Source organism: Homo sapiens, chromosome 4, assembly GCF_000001405.40.
Source record: "Homo sapiens chromosome 4, GRCh38.p14 Primary Assembly".
Taxonomy (NCBI): domain Eukaryota; kingdom Metazoa; phylum Chordata; class Mammalia; order Primates; family Hominidae; genus Homo; species Homo sapiens.
The window spans coordinates 172807081-172827679 of NC_000004.12; the positions used below are offsets into that span (position 1 = coordinate 172807081).

At 39.8% G+C, this 20599-nt stretch overlaps 1 protein-coding gene across 8 annotated transcripts in view, besides 1 other annotated feature; it reads left to right on the forward strand.

Annotated features, from left to right (window-relative positions):
• The window catches only part of GALNTL6 (polypeptide N-acetylgalactosaminyltransferase like 6), a 1228156-nt gene that overhangs the window by 993677 nt on the left and 213880 nt on the right, over positions 1–20599 (forward strand). For all 8 annotated transcript variants that reach the window (NM_001034845.3, XM_017008243.3, XM_017008244.3 and 5 more), the window contains 2 exons: positions 2281–2466; positions 6460–6643. In NM_001034845.3, coding sequence (NP_001030017.2) covers positions 2281–2466; positions 6460–6643 — 370 coding nt within the window. The remainder of the gene's footprint in view (positions 1–2280; positions 2467–6459; positions 6644–20599) is intronic.
• Positions 2201–2728: an enhancer, noted in NCBI's record as "OCT4-NANOG hESC enhancer chr4:173730432-173730959 (GRCh37/hg19 assembly coordinates)". NCBI's record gives its function as "activates a minimal SCP1, AML or CMV promoter by ChIP-STARR-seq in naive H9 embryonic stem cells {active_cell/tissue: H9 hESC(naive)}" and the evidence as "EXISTENCE:reporter gene assay evidence [ECO:0000049][PMID:30033119]".

The window sequence follows — 20599 nt, forward strand, 5'->3', positions numbered from 1 at the left end:
GGCAAGAGAGTAAAGCTACAGTCTTACACACAGGCAGTGTGTTGTATAGCCAATAGAATCTTTCTTGGCAGCTTGCACACAGTGGAGAAGGGAGGCCATCATGTTGGGGAGCACTGAGCAGAGGGGCAGGAGCAAAGAGGCACACAGTAGAACTTGCCTCCTGGTTGAGATAGCACAATACTGCTTATATACTCATATTTGTTAGTCTGTGGCTTGCCACAACTTCTTCCTTTAATTTGCAAGAGATACAAGATGATGAATTATCAAAATCTCACCAGGCAAAAGAAAATTCTAAATTTTTTGTCATTTGGGCTCAGCATTCAAAGGCATTTCTTCAGATAAAAATGCTGTTTTTATTCATACATACAAGTGACTTACTAGTCTTCGATTATTGGCTTAATACATAAAAGTTTGTTGAATGAACACTGACCAGTCTCACTCAAGCCTAATTCAAAGCTTGACTGTCCACCACATTCTAGAAGGGAAAAACAATCCCCTAAATCCTTTATGTTTTATAGGTGAGGCTTTTCAGGCTTCAGGAGTCTGCATGACCTACTCATATGTATCACCATTGTGGAGCTCCCTCCCAGGCCTACTCTGATTCCAACCCTGGAAAAAGAGTTTGCTTTTCATAGTCTGATCTTCATATCCTTGTTACTTACATGAAGAACAAAATAGAGGGGAACATATTTTGAGCTAAAACACTCTCGTGGAAAATCCCATCTGTATTTGTTTGTTTGTTTTTGTTTTTGTTTTTTCGGAGACACAGTCTCACTCTATTGCCCAGGCTGGAGTGCAGCGGTGCGATCTCAGCTCACTGCAACCTCCACCTCCCGGGTTCAATCAATTCTCCTGCCTCAGTCTCCCAAGTATCTGGGATTACAGGCACCTGCCACCACGCCTAGCTAATTTTTGTATTTTTAGTAAAGACTGGGTTTCACCATGTCGGTCAGGCTGGTCTTGAACTCCCGAAATCAGGTGATCCACCCACCTCTGCCTCCCAAAGTGCTGAGATTACAGGCATGAGCCACCATGCCCGGCCCCATCTGTATTCTTGTACAGTGAAAATTAGAAAGCCAAATATTGTTTTCATTGACCCATTTGTGAAACATAGGACAGTCAATAAAAAGGGAAATTAAGATTTTATAAAACTACACTAGTTAATAAGAAGTGAGAATGAACCTCTGTGCACGGAGAAACTCCAATACGGAGTAATTCTGACATCTGTTACATTGGATAGCAGGAAGGAATCACAAATCCTACATGAACCCCTACTGCTACAGATCATGCAAAGAGACTTAATAATATTGCCTTTGATTGAAGACATGAAGAGAACGTTTGAAAAGTGAAAAATACAGAGCATACAGCATACTAAGATTCCACTTCAATGAATACTAGACTATACCTGTCAGAGATTCCAATAAAACCCTCATAATGTCTTAGATAGGGCAGAATGAAAGCAGAGGATATAAAATATATAAGTACATAACCCCGGAAAGGCAGCAAATGCTCTTATTTGACATAATAAGAACTGAGAGCTTGATGCATTTTGTCACAGACAGTAGGAAATATTTTATTCTGTGAATAAATTATCCGATTTGATTTTGTTTCCACTATTTGTTTTTAATTAGGCAGGAAACATTTCCAAATTTAAATAGCTAAGAAATATTTCCGAATCTTTAATAGGTAAGTTCCAAACGACTGTATAGTATTTCATCTGCAGCCAGTCACCTTTCCACTTCAAATCAGAAGCCAGGTGTTAAACTTTCTTGCTAGTTTGCTATTAACTTCTGGGGGAAAAAATCTGTTTGGTTCTTGTTGATATGACAGATATTTATCTTTCCTGTTGTTTTACATATATTATTTTCAATACACAAAATACTAGGCAAAGCCTTGCTGTAGAGAGCTCTTTTGTTGGAAAGAGCCCATTTCCAGGATTTTCATCTGACTTTACCCAGCAGGACCAGAGGGCAGAAGCCCATCTTTGGAGTGTTGGCTAGGATTACACGCTGCAGCTGTCAGCCAGCAGTAACTGCATAACAGACCTCTGGCATGTCAGTGACTTTTGTGTTCAAAAAAGGGCAATATTTGCAGTTTACAAAGCATTCTGGAAAGTGTAAAATCTAAAAATCTTACTAGTATCTCCCATCTAGATGAGGAGACAAGAATGTTACCCCAGGATTCATCAGTCACATACTCTCTATGCACAAACAACCGTGAATAATTCAGCTGCAACTAATGTTTTGCGTTTTTTCTATGCATTCTCTACTTCCTACCTAGAACACCTGAAGGATAAATTGGAAGAATACATGGCCCGATTTTCCAAAGTGAGGATTGTTCGCACCAAGAAAAGAGAAGGACTCATCCGGACCCGTCTCCTGGGGGCATCTATGGCCAGAGGAGAAGTCCTGACATTCCTGGACTCCCACTGCGAGGTCAATGTGAACTGGCTGCCCCCACTCCTCAGTGAGTACAGGTTGCTAAGCACCATCCTGGGATGCCTCAGGGGAACTGAGCGGTTTGCTTCTATTTAGTTTGCAATCAGCAAACACTAGAGGTCCCTTCTACAAGTTTTCCAGGGGAAGCCTTGAATTTTATATTTACCACTGCTGAAAACAGTTTACTAGGTAACTGTTTTAGGCAGTATTCTAGGTAATGCCATAAAATTGGCATTTTAAATAATATCAACTTCAATCTAACTTACAGTTTAGAAAAGGTTTCATTTATCTTAGATATCCTCCTTTAGTGTAGTCACATTCACTGGGTGAACACTAAAAGAAAAACGTGTCCCAAAACTCTTTTATAATCCTGTAGCTACAGCAAGATTAAAATACACACACACACACACACACACACACACACACACACACATTGAACAAGTATTACAGGATTGTTAAGAAAAGAGGAAGGAAAATTATTCATCCCCAGAATACAGTTAAAGTAGAAGCACCTTGACATTTTCTAGGATTTAAAATGCCGTTTCTTTTCTGTTATTCTCTCCACTTCTGGCACCATCCTATAGCCCTAAATATACAGTTCTTTGTATTTACATAGATTCCTTCTAACACAGTGCAGCTGTCCAGGTGCTATGTCTTAAATGCTCACAATATGGCTAAGCTGAGGGAAAGAAGATTATGTCATAACACACTTGAACTGTTAGAAACACGAAAGAACTGAAAGTAATTTAAGCTAGAAAACATACATGTGGTTCAGTTCAAGCTTCATTACTTTTGTTTTAAAATGAAGTAAAATATAAAGTCCAGTTGTAGATAAGAAATAAATTGTCAGCTCGAAAACAAAAAAAACCCTCCTTTTAAAAAGTTCTTGGTGCACACAGTGTGTTCTCCTTTCCCACTTTGCTAAATCAACTTTTATTGTAAAAATATCCCTGGCCTTGGAACTAAAGTCACTAGCAACTGCCTTCACAATAGCTGTCTCAGAAAGAACAATTTGCTATTGACTACTGTGTAGGTTTTCAGCAAGAACCAGCAAAGCTCCCTTAGTAAAAGATGTGAGGCGGGGGGGCGGGGAAATCAATTGAAACTGTGTAGGATTTAAAACAGGAAATAACCAGCACCCAACACCCTCCACCACATTGCCCAGCCACATACGCCTGCACAGGTAACTGCCCAGTTATCCTAATCAACTGAATGTTTTGGTGCCCCTGCAGTCAGAGACTCCTCTGAGCCTTTAATTAAAAGTACCTTGTCCAAGGACACAGCAATTTAGAGCTTCATCAGCAACAGTGAGATTCCCTCAAACAGAATTTGACCTATATGGTGTTGAATACTCAAGGAAGTCAGCAAAAGGCCTAATTTATTTATGAACCAAAGCAAATCCCTAAATGCCAATTATTGAGTCTCTGATTGTTCACTATGAATCTAACTAAAAAGAAGAAGATAGAAAAAAAAAGAGTAAGAGAAACCCACAACCCACATTTTCTCATTAAAGTATTTCATTTCCTGTAGTCCTGATGGATAAGAAATGATTCAAGCTCAGGATCACTATCTTTCTTATTTTCCTCTATCAGTGTCTTGACACATCATCCAAAGTGAAAAAACAGGCAGAGCCACACAGTTTCTTGGCTCATTTTTCACCTTGGGATTATACCTGAATTTCAGTTTCCCATTAAGTCTGTTTGTTTGATCCCTGGAAATTGAAATGTAGGCACAAGCCTTGGATGAAAAATTAGTCATGCTGCTTTCAACCTAAGCTAGGACAGCTGGATAAGAGTGAAAAGGAAATTTGAAGGAAAAGTTGACAGTTACTTTAACAGACACATTCTCTTTGGGTCACCTTGGGACTCCTTGATGGTCAAGGAACTTGTAAATCAACCTGATTCTGAATTTGATTGAAGAAAGTCACTGAAACCTTAATACTAAAATACCTGCAGGGATGAGAGAAAAAATATTCTGGACCCAGCAACAATGGTCTCCTCTGTCAAAGACATCTCTGGGGAAATACCATTCAGTAAAATATTACTGAATAGAAATACCATTCAGTAAAACCCATTATAAGGCTTGCCCTGGTAAAAAACAAATGCTTAGCCATCCCTTGGTGCAGATTAACTAGAAATGGTGCTGGGGGGTCTCTTCATCTGCTAATTAAACTAAAGTAAGACAAAGCCCACTTCTAGCTCTCTGTGGCTTACCAGGGCCATGCTCTAAAATCGCAACCCTTTCCACACTCCAGTATCCTGCATTCCCCTTCCCCTGTTTTATTTTTTCCAATCTCATTTATCACCTTTGAAACACTATATAATTTAGTTATTTATTATGCTTATTAATTGTCTTTGCTTCATTCCTGAAGACAGAAATTTTTGTGATGTTATTCATCATGGTATCCCCAGAACCCAGAACAAGTGACTAGCACGTAGTTTCTAATCAATAAATAATTGTTGAAATATGAAAAGAATGACTGGATGGATAAATGGATGGATGGATGGATGGATGGATGGATGGATGGATGGATGGATGGATGAACAGACAGATGGAAGGATGGATGGATGGATGGAAAGGCATATAGACCGAGAGGGGAAAGTTTTCACAAAATTCTGTGGTTTCCATCCCCTGCTTCATCAGTGTCATCGAAATAAAGCCACTTCTTATTATAACCAGTAAAACCTTATACTTTTTATCCCATGCTTAAGAGAAACTTCTGAAGCAAACGGACAGTTTCCTTACTGCAAGAACTTTATCCCCAACACAAATTACATTTACTCCACAATCTCTGGGGAAACAAAATATGTTATGGAAATAACCAAACTTCGTAACTGTGCTAAATGATATCTGTTGTTTATTTGTTTATTGTCACATCTAAAGGTCTTCCGAATAACAAGAAGTTCTGCCCATTAGACAGCATTGGTCTCTTACAATAAATATTAACTAAATTCACATTCTTGGAAAGAAAGATACCTCACAGATAGCTATTCTAGCTAAACCAAAGGATGCAAATGCCAGTGCCCTTTGCCAGCTGTTAATGTCATCACAATAACCTTAGCCACACAGGAAAGGAAGGTGTTGGAACTGAAAAAAAAAAAAAATCACCTCTCTGCTACCATGAGAAGCACAATGGAACACTCGAAAGGTCAGGTTTAAAATTGGATTGTTAAGCAGAGGTTGCATCTTGGTTGTTGCTCCCAAAAGCTGCATAACCCTTAACAAGTTATTTAATTTCCCTAATCTTACCTTTCTCGTACATAAATTGGGGATGACAATAATAGTTACCCTACAGGGTTGCTAAGAGTATTAGGAATAGCATGAGAATAAATCACTTTATAGTTGTTCAAGAATTTAAGAGTAGCAGAAGTAATCGCAGTAGTATAATATCACCTAATACTTTTTCGAATATGATGAGGGAAGAAAATGTATAGCTTTGATCAACAGAGTTTAGCTTCAAGAACAGTGGCAAAATAGGACTTGGAAAAATCTCTGGCAAACCTGAGAGCAAAGAATTCTATGTATGATCTGTCAGCATTTATAGGGGAGCAGCCACCATGATTGTTATGAAATTAGATGCTACAAAAACCATGAAGTTAAATATTTACTTTTTGGAACCTCCAGAAAGCAGGCCAGTATTTTCTCAGCAGGCTCCAGCAGTATGCTTGAAAGAACACAATAACTGTTTATACTCTGCACATGTTCGATTCACGATAAAATGACAGACTGGGGACAGGTCAGGGCAAAAATGTGACAGAGGTAGAGCTAAATGGACTTCTGCAAGTCTCTCTGGGACATAACTTTCTTAAAGGAAAATACAACAACTCTAATTGGACCTAATCGCTGTCCCATCACATTAAGTCCAGAATTCAGAGATTCCTGAAAAGGGCTCTAAGGAGGACAGGGAGCCACGGCTGCAAGCATTATGCATTAGTGGAGGACTGTAGGCTTCTCTTTGCTGAAAAATGATAGATGACCTAGGCAGGCATGTCATTTCCTATTTTGTGCTTTCATTTTTCAGACCAAATTGCACTAAACCACAAAACCATCGTGTGTCCCATGATCGATGTCATTGACCACAATCACTTCGGGTATGAGGCACAAGCTGGGGATGCCATGCGAGGAGCCTTCGACTGGGAAATGTACTACAAAAGAATCCCCATCCCTCCAGAGCTCCAGAGGGCAGATCCCAGCGACCCTTTTGAGTGAGTAGCAGCCAAGGGAGGGGCCGAGGGGGTGAGGGCAGGTAACTCATTGCAGTGTTAAACCTGGGCTCAAGAAGACAATTATCTCTAACAAAATGGAATAAAACAGGCGGCAACAATATGCAAAACATCACAGAAAGGTCAGACCTACACCCTGTAGAAAATTACAAGCTGTATCGAATTCATGGAACACCCCTTCTTAAACTTTGCTAAGCATGAAACTGTACAGATGAAAGAACCAGGAAAATGCATAAACAGAAAATACATAGAAAAGGAAGGCATGTTCCCTTCTTAGATGCTTTCTTATTTTCAGTTGTTTCTGTTCTTTTGACTTTTCCCTAAAGGATTACTGAAAACAACTATTTTGTTTTTCTTTTATTAGAAATTGATATAAAATATGAACCAGTGTTTAAGCCTACTTTCTATACCCTGTTGAAATTGTGTACCTATAACGGAAGCGTGCTCCTAAGCAGGTGTTCCCACAACTGAAACATGGGGAATTCAATCAAAGTGATATACCCAGAGTCAATTATCTTTGATAATCCTGCCCCTAATTTAAGTACATCCTGTACAGAGAAGAATGTACAGCAATGATCTAATGATTAATTTCTACCAAACGACATCCTGTTTTTTCAGTGTGGACATAAGAAGTATGCATTTAAAGAAAAAGAAAAAATATGTATAGTTTAGTTTGACAGACTATCAAGACCTTTCATAGTGAATGGTAAACTTTTTCCAACAGTTAGCCCAGAGATTATCCAAGGTATACTATATATCTATTCCTTATACTGCACCCTTTGATATCATTAAAATTGTTATTTTAAAACTATTATATATGTTTTTCTTAGTACAAGAAAAATGTCTGTGATCAAGGCTTTGCACACTCTGAGTCCATTTAAAATGCATTAAAAATATCGTCTTTTCATCAATAATATGGGCCATAAAAGTTTGCAGTAAAGAAGCTACTGAGTACGAAAACCACTTCCTTGACACTAACAGTTTAAATTACAATCAACATTTCATAATGATCAGGAAAATATTTCCTACACTTCTAGTCTTTAGAAAAATGAACTCCTGGGGAAGCAAAGGGAATTTCAGAAGACGTTAGCCTGATACCACGCGAGAGAAGTCGTTTCTTTTGTAAAATGAAGCGCTCTCATTAAATATCCAGAGCTTCTGGAGTTCAGCCTCTTTTGACGTGATACTTACTGGAGAGTTTTTGAAAAGAAATAATAAAGGACCTTTGTTACTTCCTCAAATGCTTTGGCCAAAATTTCATGGGTATTCAAAACTACTAGAAAATCTTTTTAGTAATCTAAGCAAAGTGTTTCTAATAAGCATTTGAAGTGAGCTTAGCTGAGAGATGTTCTTCAGACTTCTCTGAAGGCAACCATCTGAAAGTCTTGACAGAGGGGCTTAAGGTGGGACGAGTGACAAGGTTGTGAGGTGATGCATATGTTAATTAGCTTGATTTAGCCATTCGACAATATGTACGTATTTCAAAACATCATGTTGTACATCATAAATATATACAACTTTTATATGTCAGTTTAAAATATAGATGAGAAAAGAAAATAAATTTAAAACGTTTTAAATGTAAAAATTTTTAAAACATGCGTGTGGAGAGGAGTACAAAAGGGCCTTAACCGTGGTAGAACTGTTATTAGGTGCTGGCCCACAGCAGAAGAGCCACAGTTCGGCCGCTATGATGTGAAAGTACACATTTTAAGGGCTAGAACTCACCCAGGCTGGCTTTCCAAATACCGTGATAGTGACTGGTTATAATGACCTTTACTTTATTTGCACTGTGATAGCAGAGTAGGGGTCCTGCTTCCTGAAACAGTAGGATCAAAATGCCGTCAGAGGAATCTGCAGTGGAGACAGTTATAAAAGTATTCTCAGTGCCTGCACTGACAGTCAACATTTTTGTCAGGCTGACTCTGACTATGGCTATTACAATATCAAGCACCTTGCTTAACCACAGAGCTGGCAGAATTGGTAACTTTCAGAACTAGGTTACCTCTTGTTTCTGTCCCCTACGTAGGTGGTTGTTGAACTGTCAAAATTTGCATTCATCTATTGCATATTACTATCTTTCTGCCTTAAGTCTTATTGATTCCTAGGAATGTGGACACTTTAGCCTCTTGTAATAAATGTAACTTGCAGGAGGTGTCCACTTTGATCTTATAAACCGTGTTTGCCTTCCTGATAATAAAAGAATGGTTACCCAAGCAGCTCTGAGCAGCGTATCGGCAATTTCATTATCACGGCAGTCACCTGAATGTGCTCATAAACAGACAAGCTTTAGGCTAAAACTTGCTTCTCTAGCTGTAAAGCTTTAAGGTACACAGAACGAAGGCAGTCTATCTATACAGCTTTCTTATAGTCTTCCACATTTCAAGAGGCTGCCGCCAAAGTGTATGGTTTTCTGTGGGAAGACAGGGAGAGGAGGCTGAAAGGCTAGGAAGAAGGGAAACAAAGAAGAATGTGCAAACGTATCTCAAACCCCAGTATTTTTCATACAATAAGGATGCAAAAATTATCTTTCTGTAGCAAGTTTATCAAATGTCTTAAGTGACAAGATTTGAATTATCTAATTTATTCTGCCATTACTTGAATTTTCAGTGACTATTATAGCAGTGATTATAGCAGTGTTTTCCAACCTGAAAATTCTGTGAAATTAGTGGGGCATTAACAGTATTTAATTATTAATTAATTGGATTGAATTCAATTGAAAATTTTAGAATGTTATACTAATGGGTAGGTATAAGTGTCATTTCTCAAATATTCAATTTCAGTTATAAGGCATATATGAACCTGATGTGGTATAAACTGTATTTCTTCACATAGACTACACAGTCAAAGTGGTCATCATGTACCAACTTTCTAAACTAGGAATCAAGGCCTTCAACAATCTGACTAGAAAAGGAAAACTCATGGATAACTTTGAGCATTAAGAAAATATTTACTGATATTTACAAAGGGATCCTGTTTTTCAACAAACTGCTACTAGAATATAAGAGAAAAGGCAGCATTCATGATTCAAATTATTATATGGTGGTCATAATTCCTGTTGGATTGGATACATTTAAGAAATATTTTGGCTGGGCACGGTGGCCGCGCCTGTATTCCCAGCATTTTGGGAGGCTGAAGTGGGTGGATCATTTGAGGTCAGGAGTTCAAGACCAGCCTGTTCAATACAGTGAAACCCCGCCTTTACTAAAAATACAACAATTAGCCGGGCATGGTGGTGGGTGCCTGTAGTCCCAAGCTACTTAGGAGGCTGAGGCAGGAGAATTGCTTGAACCCGGGAGGCAGAGGTTGCAGTGAGCAGAGATTGCACCACTGTACTTCAGCCTGAGAAACAGCCAGACTCCGTCTCCAAAAAAAAAAAAAAAAAGAAAGGAAGAAATATTTTGGGGCCAGGAACAGTCACTCACACCTGTAATCCCAGCACTTTGGGAGACCAAGGCAGGCAGATTGCTTGAGCCCAGGAGTTTGAGACGAGCCTGGGCAACATAGCAAAACCCTGTCTCTACGAAAAAAATATATACATATATAGTGGGGCATGGTGGTGCACGCCTGTAGTCCCAGCTACTTGGGAAGCTGAGGTGGGAGGATCACCTAAGCCTAAGAAGTTGAGGTTTCAGTGAGCCATGATCACACCACTGCATTCAACCTGGGTGAGACCCTATTGCAAAAAAAAAAAGTTGAATTAAAATAAACAAGAAATATTTTGGGTTATTATTAAGGAAGAAACCAGAATGTTCCCTCTTTCTGGTGGCTTTTATCATGATGTAATGCTTTGAGGAAATTCTTGTTATTCATGGCTTTTAGAAGGTTTTCTCATGACTGGTCCATCTTGAATTCAGGGCACTTAGCAATGAAAGACTTTTCTGTGTGACAAAACATAATATGCTCCTTCAGCCATGATGACAAAGAGAAAGATGTTCATTTGCTTTCTAAAAGTTTAGAGTGGGCCCTAAGAAATTATCTTGTCCAAATTCCCTTCAATGTGAGCAACCACTAAACAATGTCCAAGACAGGCATCCAACCTCTGCAGTAACTCATCTTTAAAGTAAATTTCCTACCTCAAAAGATAGTCGTTTCTGTTAGACTTATTGACAGAAATGTTTTCCCTTGTATGAAGAAAATTCTGCCTTCCTGATCCCAAATTGTCCTACTTGAGATACGAGGAATATCTAATTGGTCTTTAATGACAGAGCTATTAGAAATATTTGAGAATAGTTGCCATGCCTATACTGCCCAAGAGGGAAAACAACAAAACATTTTTCTTTTCCAGGCTACATATTTTCAGTTCTATCACCATGTTTTCCAGGTCTACTAGAATCTTGTAAAAGTTCACACTCGTTGATGTAATGGTTCAATACATGTAAATTCACTTCACTGCTGCCAACGTTTCTCCAACTTGTCTCCAAGGGCAGCATGAAATAGTCCATCCAGTATATCAGGTACCCAGGCCCTAATACATGACTCTGTCAACTATAAAAATCAAGTTAATTTCTAGAGAATTTATGCAGGTTCCTAGCTATCATGCTTCCTTTTGCTAAATAGAAATAATCGATTCAGCAGTTTATTCAATTTTGCAAGTTGATTATATTTTTCAGAATCCACCTCTATTCTGTCTTTGTGATTGTGGAGAAATTATTTTTGCACTGCCAGTCTTCCTCAGATAGAGCTTCACAATTCCTTAAAGACTTCTAGAACTAAGAGTTTTAATCACCATCAATGGAATTCTTGCCTAGACTTATTAGTGAGAACTGACATTCTCTATTTTCCATCTATGGTATACATCAATTTCCAAAATGCTTAAAATAAATACATATATACAGCAGCGGGGAAATTCACAGGCTAAAATCATCCTTTTTTTTGGAGACAAAGTCTCACTCTGTCACCCAGGTTGGAGTGCAGTGGGACAATCTCGGCTCACTGCAACCTCTGCCTCCTGGGTTCAAGTGATTCTCCTGCCTCAGCCTCCTGAGTAGCTGAGATTACAGGAGCACGCCACCATGCCTGGCTAATTTTTGGATTTTTAGTAGAGACAGGGTTTTGCCATGTTGGTCAGGCTGGTCTTGAACTCCTGACCTCATGATCTGCCCGCCTTAGCCTCCCAAAGTGTTGGGATTACAGGCATGAGCCACCGCACTTGGCCACAATCATCCATTTTATTCTCTCAGAAACCACTATGTTCCACAGACATATCAGTTTGAATTCAGTAATTCCTCATCCAGGGCCAATATCTAGCCTTCAAATGTCCCTAGGCATGGATAGCAATAGCCGTGACCCATTGCCAAGGACCTCAAGTTAGGCACTTCAGACATGAAAGATCCTCTGACATGGGCCAAAGGTGAGATCCTTATGAGCTGGTTCTGCAGTCCAGAAGTGTGAGGCATAGCCCATGCTAAAATGGGGAAAATTCTACCTCTTTGCTACAGAGAGTTGTAACACTGTCACATGAAAGTGGAATGCTTTCTATAGATTTACTGATAGTACCTTCCATTGTTCTTCCAAGGCACACAGTGCAGAACTTGCAGACTCTCTTTCTTGTATAAGAATGTGAGAAAGTACTGATAACAACACCGTGTGAAAGTCAGTGGTTCTTAGGCAACAAATATAACTTTCTGCTAAATTTAGGCTTAGAATAAAATCAGAAAAAAGTACAAATAATCATAAATTCATCAAGCTAGAAAAAACCATAGAGACAATTCAACTTATTTTTACAAAAAAGGAAACCTAAGCTATACAGTCTAAATGACTTACCCAGTGTCACCACTAGCTAACTTAACAGCTACTACTAGAATCTGGGGTTGCTGACTCATCATTCCATGTTAGTCTTTCTTTCACACGTGATGAAGGGGAAATTAACAGTTGTTAAATGTCTACTGCTATGGGTCAGGCACTTTGCTAGGAAATTTACATATCTTCTAACCCATTTAATCCTTATTTCAAGCCTATGAAATATGTAATTTTTACAAATGAGATGATTCAGGCTCATAGAGGTTAAGCAGTTTTCCTAAGTTTACACAGCAAATAGGAGTAAGAAAGCAGAGCTAAGAATTCCCACGATTCCATGGAGATTTTCACCTCCCATTCTACTTAGAGAAGACACATTCTCTAGTGGTTAAGGAATAATCATACTCAAATAGGGAAAAAACCTTCAGAGAGTACAATTACTTCTTCCCTAAAACACGACAATGCAGCTGGTAAGTGAATATCGCAAAGCCAAAACATCACTGACCTTTACCAGTCCTTACAGCAAGTCTTATTTCAAAACACGTTCAGGACACTGGGTCAAACAAAATCACTCCAGGTCTGCCTCACACAGATAGACTTGTGCCTGCACAAGGGTGCCCAGTGGAGAGTGTGAGTAAGGCTAAGATCAAGCCTCTGTTCATAAAGCCGTGGACCCAGGCTTGGGTTGACTAATGTGGAGGAAGAGGGGCTCCTTCTCCTTGGTGGGCATAGAAGCTTCACTTTATTAACACAAAGGAGATAACAACAGATTGAGGATCAACTTACTTGATGCCTAGAATAAACTATTAGCTTTTATCAGAACCTTATTGATGGCACTAATTGACCTTCAAAATTTTAGCATCCCACTTGGGTTAAATTTCATTGAGGGTTAGGGTTACCTTAACCTATTCAAAATTTGAAAGTAAAGATAATCTATTTTACACAAAACTCTTTCCACATAAGTTTTGACCCAATATTAGTAATTCTACATTTAATCAAAATCAGTAAAGCATGAAATTGATTTCCCACAGAAAAATGGACTGGTCAAACTGAGAATTTAATATAGAATATAAGCTTAGAAGGATAACTTTGGGGGTTTTCTCCACTTTCACCTCTAAGTTTAATTAGATACTGTTCATTCTCCCTTTTATTCTCTCCCATCCCTATTAGGACAACTCCAGAGCCTGGAATATCCATTTGGTAGAGTGGGAGAACTTTGTTCATTCCCTGCTTCTCAAGTCAAGTCAATATTCTCACAAATTTTGCATGATCTCCATGCAATTGCTACAAATCTTCCTCCTTTTCTCCTCAAAAAATCAAATTGATGCATAAAAATACCAAAAGATGTGCTCCTTGACCTCAGCCTCCAACCACATAATTCTCTATGATTGAGGTTTCAAAACTGAAGTTTCAAACATTTGAGGGATTAGATTAGAATCTATGTTCATCAGTTTAGTCTAAAGACAAGTTCCAGGAGAGTTAACTAGGTCTTCAGCTCTCCACAACCACAACCACAGATCTTGCCGGAACTTCTCATTATTCCAGAAGCCCCTCAATTAAACTGGCCAAAGAATCTATTTCATGAAACCTATGTAGTATGTAATACGAAAACTAACATCTGTTTAGCACTTCACCGTATGTAAAGCCCTCACTATATTATCTAATTAACTCTATGTAATAATCCCTTCAAATGGGTTAAAGTAGATACTGTGGTTTTCTAATTTTGCAAATAGAGTGAGAACCAAAGAAATGAAGGGACTATCGTGATGAATAAGAGACAAAATCAGGACTCAAATCAATGCCTTCATTCATTCATTCAGATTTCAAATCTTAGCTTTAATCAATGGTCTCATAGGACTCAAGTTAATGCCTTCTTTCATTCATTCAGACTTTGAATCCTAGGGTTAATCAATAATTTTCTTTTACTCTCCTTGTAAGAGAAACTTAGGCACCCGCTAAGTGAAGTAGTTTTGTCAATTAATGTTTCATAGTGAGTTCATAATAAGAGCAGGAAAGGAAACAGATTGCCTTGCTCCCCATACTGTGTTCTTATCATTAGACCAAACTAGAGCTGATAGGTTGAAAATGTCAGCTTTCAGTTACTAATGAAGGGAAATGTCAACAATGCCAGCTTCTGGTCTGTTTATAACAAGATCTAATTCAATATTTAACAACTGCAAAAGGACAAAATGTTTAGGGAAAAGACTGTCAAACTTTTAAATGGTGTCCTAATCTACAGAAGGTGAGAATAAAGGAGCAGAAAATGGCTCAAGTGTTTAAAAAACTAATCAAAATATTGAATAAGATCAATCTCCTTTGAAAGCCCAGAATAAACACTCACTGAAGATTTTTTAAATGTAAAGTAAAATAGTATAACATGGGCAGAGATGTTCCAAAGCAAAGTTGTAAATTACCCATCTCTCCTTTTGAAGCCCCCTCCCCCATTGCTTGGCTCTGGAGGCCCCTGGCTGCCCTGAGCCCCCAGTCTCCAGGGAAATCACATCTGACAAAGAAATTCTCCGTAAGGGGTGGCAACAATCTCTTTTCCTTTGTCAGGGTCAGAAATGACTGCTTCTTTCTTCCCTCTCCCTATGGGTGTGATCTTTACCTCAACAGGATGTTCCCTATGACTTTCTCCTTCATTTAACAGTGAAAATGACATTAATAAAATTAATCCTTAAATTAGCAATCCCTGTTAATTATTCTACTGTACCTCCCTGCTTTTCTTCAGTTTGTCTTGGTCTCTTGAGATCTCTGGGTTCCTGGGATAGCTTGGGCTTTGAGATCTCATCTTTCTGGTTCCTGACCATGTATCCAGCTTCTTGAACCACTTTTTTTCTCACTGCGACTTCTGTAAGGGCCATTCAATCATAGGTAGCCTGGTAGGTTATGTGCACTATTTTAAAAGATGGTGAGACCTGTTCATCCATCCTGAAAGAGGTGTTCACTCTTGCATACCAGCCACTCAGGACCATGGTCTCTCTGGAACTCCAGAATGCACTGCTCTTCTCTACCCAAACCTTACGGTGACTTTTGTTCTAACTATCCTCTGTGTTTCTTTGGTAACATCGCCTCTTAAATTTTGGACTTCTGATCTCATTCTTGGTCTTGCTTCACTGCTGCCAGGATAGACAGCTCCTCCGTAGTCAGGCTAGGGCTTGAATTCTTCATGCCAACCACCCCTAGACCTCCAGTACCACCCAATAGTTAAAGATAAAACAGCACCACCTAAGACATAGCAATGGCTGCCTATGTGTTGAACTGTGAAGTTCATGAATGGATTGATGACTGTTTTTCGTAGGGGTTTTTTTGGTCCATTTACCTGTTATATCAACTATTATCCACTTTGTTCTGCTTCCCCAACTGGTGTCCTGAGTCTGTCTGTCTGTCTAATGTGTGAGGGTAATTTGCTGTGTCCCTTCCCTACCCTTAAGATGTGACTTGACTTCATCTCATTTATTCCTTAGCTGGGCATTTTCATGGGTTCTGTCCTCTAGGATATAATGCCCCACTCTCTTCTTTCTGGCTCCCCATTCTTCTTTAACTGAAATCTTGCTCCCTTTAGCTAAGGGAGAAACTTCCATGCACCTGTGAAAATAACTGTCACAGCCCCCTTCCCAGCACCTGAAGTTCAGCAATATTGACTCTGCCCCAATAACATGATACCAGAGCATGGCAGAATTAAACAGAATGTTCTGCCATTCACCTACTCTTCCTCCTCCCTCCCTGCAGACAGGGATATAGGCCCGAGGCCTATATATTAGCTTCATTTCACTTCATTTTCTCACCCAAAGCTTCATTGCTAAAATATCACCTTCAGCTCTGCTCTCCTCTTTGCTTTCCTTCTCAATTCAACAACTCTTCTTTTTTCCTAATCATTTCAACATCAGTATTAGAATGTAAACTCCATAAGGGCAGGGAGCTCTGCTTTCTTCCATTTAGTCAGTGCTGTGTCACTAGCATCTAGTCTCTGTGCATAAAAGACACTCAACAATATTTATTGAATGGATGAAATAAATATTAAGATTGGAAGAAGTGGTCAGATAAGGTTGTGTATATTTGAAAAAGGGATGACAGTTTTTCAGAAAAGGATGCTAGCTGCAGAGAATGTTGTGGCAGGACTGAGCACAATTATCTGTAGGGTGTGACCCACAGAGCAGCCTAAATGGAGCATAAATTCTGATAGGGGAGTGGTAGAAAGTAAAGAAGAAAAGGAAGAAATGAAGAAGACAGCAGAAGGCATTTATCCAGTATGTAGAAAGAACAAAGATGATAAATAAATCTTTTAGAAAAAATAGAAGGCATTCCTGAAGTCCTTTACACCATGAATGAAAATTAAAATCATTTTTAAAACCACAACCTAGGAGATAACATCTTTAACAAGGGGGCCAGGAGATGATATTGATCTTCAGTTCTGTCCTTTTCTAACAAATAACAAGATGCTATGAGCATCTTGTGCTGTCTAGATTCTAGACTCCACCTAGAGCCCAAGCTGTTGGGGGCAATGGGCTTCAAGAGAGTTCACCAAAAATCCATGCTCGAGAGCAGGGCTGGGAAGGGCCAGTGGGCTTGTTGGCGAGTATAATCTTAGAACTCATATGTGTAGACTATGCCCTTAGAATGGGAGGGCATAACAAGCCTGAACAATATGTATAGCTCTAAAGTCTAGCGAAGAAAACTAAGCCTTACATGTGGTGTGCCGTTGAAGCCTGCAGTATTTATATTTAAAGAAATGATGAAAACTGTAATCTGTGTCCAGGGGTCAGCGAGCAGTCTCTAGTCCTGAATTACTCTCTAGTCCTGAATTACTCTGTTACTCTGCCACAGAGAAAGAACAGAGTTGGCCACAAGGGCTTTCAGTCAGAACCTGACTTCCATGGTATAGTGTGTGTGTGTGTGAGTGTGTGTGTGTGTGTGTTTGTGTGTGTGTGTTCATGTGTGTGTGTGCACATATATGTTATAATAATAAATTGGGATCAGGTTATTTATATATATTTATATTATTTATATGTGTATGTGAGTATATATATTATTTATGGTGTATGTCAATGTGTCTGTGTATGTGTAAATTTTGCTTGTAAATTGCTTCAAATGTAAGTTGCTTTTTTAAACAAAGTGGATACATATAAATAATAGGAGTGAAAAAGAAACAAAATCTGGCTTTGAGTCTATGCTGCTGTCTTCTCAGTGGGGCTGATTTTGTTCAGGATCACTCGTGGAGGTAGGTGAGATTGGCTTCAGGTGAGAAGGCTTCAGAAATGAGAGAATTCCCTATCTCAATCCTCTAACAAAGTCAGAGCAAAACTTTTTAAAAATAAAACAGTACCGCACATACTCCCCTGATGTAAATAGAGTTGAGTGACACTAGAAAAGTAACAGACTTTCATGAGCTTATATGTGACAGAAGTCATTAGTCTTTACTGTTTGCTGCTTGGATTATTTATTTGGATCTAAGCTCAGTATCTGAAGTGAGGCTACATCCACAGAGGCACTGGTTTTGACAAGATCATCACTCCCGCCTTCAACAAAATAATCAAGAAATGACTATGATGCTAAATCGGTGGGACAATTCTTTTTTCTTTTTTTTTTTTTTGGTTATCTTTTCTTTCTTTCTTTCTTTCTTTCTTTCTTTCTTTCTTTCTTTCTTTCTTTCTTCCTTTCTTTCCTTTTTGGTCTAATACTTCTTGGTATAGATCCACCTGGAAATACATTTAAGAGAAAGAAATGTCTGTTTTTGTGTCCTGGAGTGCCAATGAAAATGAGACAAAATGGAGTCTTGCGGGAGGGAGGGAGATTATATGGCATAATTCAGTGGAAAGGCTGAGGCCAGGCTGCCAGTGGAAAGGCTCGTGCTGGTTGGCCACTCCAGGTTGCAAATTCTGATTCAAAAGTGACCTTGAGGGCACCTTCCCACTCCAGCCTTCTTCACTGATGGAGCTCGATGGTAACACAAAGATGTTTGCCGTTTCTGTGTCTTCCTCCAGCATGTTAGCGTGTTTTTCTATCAGTGGGAACTAGGTTGGAAGCCCCAGACTCTGCCCAGATCCTGCTTCTGGGATTGAGGTGAGCCAGGGCAGGAGAGCAGGAGCTTAGGATCTCCCAGCCTGCACTGGATTGGTGGGAAAACTCATCCAAGGCCTTCTAGAAGTGGTACACAAAGGGAGAAATTGAGCAAAGTGGTGGATAAGGTAAAAGTACACATGAGAGAAAGAATGATTACATCACAAGCCACAAAAAAAAAGAAAGCAGGTTTGAATACCATGTAAGAGGAGGGAAACTGTAGGGGAAAGCTGTGCGTAGCTGAGAGAACTGGGATTTGCACATACAGAAGCTAGTGTGGGATCAGGCCATATTTCCCTCCTCCCCACATTTATCCCCCAGCCATTCCACCAATTTAAAGTTAATGAAGAATACAGCCTAGCTAAATGTTTTTTCCTTTGCTTAACACTGCTCCAAGAATTTACATTTTAACTTTTTGTAGTAATAGAAACCATCTCATAGATGATAATTGTAGCATATGGAGCAGGTTTGAAACATACAGTTACAACTCAAGTGGGCATGAATGTAACTTTTTTTTATCTCCATAAATGAGCCTTGCAAAGCCCTGGAGTCCTGCTTCCACCGTGAGCAGCAGGCTGGCTCCCAACACATTTGGGCCCAGGACAAGAGTGCAAATGAAGGCTCAGGTGGCATATGGCTAAGTATTTGGAAGTTTATAAACTGAGCTAGCAAACTACTGGGTTCTGCTCTGTCCTCCTTTCTTGATCAATATACCTTCAAAACAACCCAGAGAGTAGGGATGCATGGAGAATTGCTCCTTAGCGTCCGTTCAGCTGTTGCAGCACCTGCGGACAGGCAGGACTGTAGCCCACAGCCCACACCTTCCCTTCCTAATTGTTCTGTGCCTCCACAGCCCATGGGCACACACGATGCAGGTGGACAAGGAAGCCCACACATCTAATTCCTTCTACAAAAATAGCCATCCTTTGCCCAACCCCCAGCCCTAAGGATATAAATTCCAAACCACGGGAAAGCAGCCCATGGAAAAAGAATCAAATAATAATGGAATGACTCAGGCATTTGAAGCAGGCTCAGAATCCTTTGTGCAGGGAATAATGCAGTCTGGAAAACCCAGTTCACAAAAGGTGTGCAGCCTGTGGGGATGGGGGGAACGGGACATCCCTTTAGCCTCCAGACTACCCATCCCGTAGGGAGAGGAACATCCAAAGAAGACCAGAGCACGGCCCTCTTTCCTGAATCTCAGGTCACTGGACAGCAGTGAGCCCCTGATGATCTCACCAATTAAATGTGTATTTCTTCTGATCCAGAACTTGGTCTCTTATGGGTAGATTCTCAGTAAATTCCCAATTCAAACTCAGTCAATTCAAAAGTCTAACTCCATGCCGGGATTGTTTTCCTTTCCAAACTGCTCTGCTCACCTTTCCTCCATTCTCCTCCACTCTCAGGATGGCATCTTGATCATGGGCCAAGTCACAGTGGGGGGCAGGTGTCATCTGATGCTTTATCTTTCTCAGCTAGCCTCAGCTAGTTTCAGATTGGATGCAGCAGACCTTTCAAAAGAGGCTTTGTCCTCACTTGATAGAGTGCCCACAGATGTCATGTCTCCATCTGCTCTCTTGCATGGTAGGGTCACTCTCCCACTGACTCAGCTCTACTTAAGTTCTAAGATCTGGCTAAGGACTAGTCCAAGAGGCCCGGTTGCAGGCTTTTACTGAGCCCTAGCTTTGGTTTGTTCAGCCGCAAATCTCAGAGATGAGTCCCTTCACCCTGCTTCATAGTGCAGGTTCTCTAGCTTTCAACTCTCATCTGGTCCCTTCCCTCCAACAGGCAAGAATTCCACCCTTTGCGGGTTACAGAGAACCAAGAGGCCCTATCTCAGACTCTGTCTGCCTAACCACACCATGCCACTCATTCTATTATAATGAGCTTCCTCATGTTGGCATAGAGCATGTTACTTAGAGGTATCTGCAAACCATGAATTCTAGGGAGGAAGTGGGGACAATCCCTCTATGTTCTGGAATCCTAAAGCTGATCTGGAGTCTTTGTCTCCCTACCACACTCCACCCACCACAATCCATTAGAACTGGGCCAAAACCTCCCAACTTTGATTTGTTGGAACCAACACCTCATGTTCCCGCTTTCAACAAATCATTGCTCTTGCAAATGAAAGCTCTGTTTCTT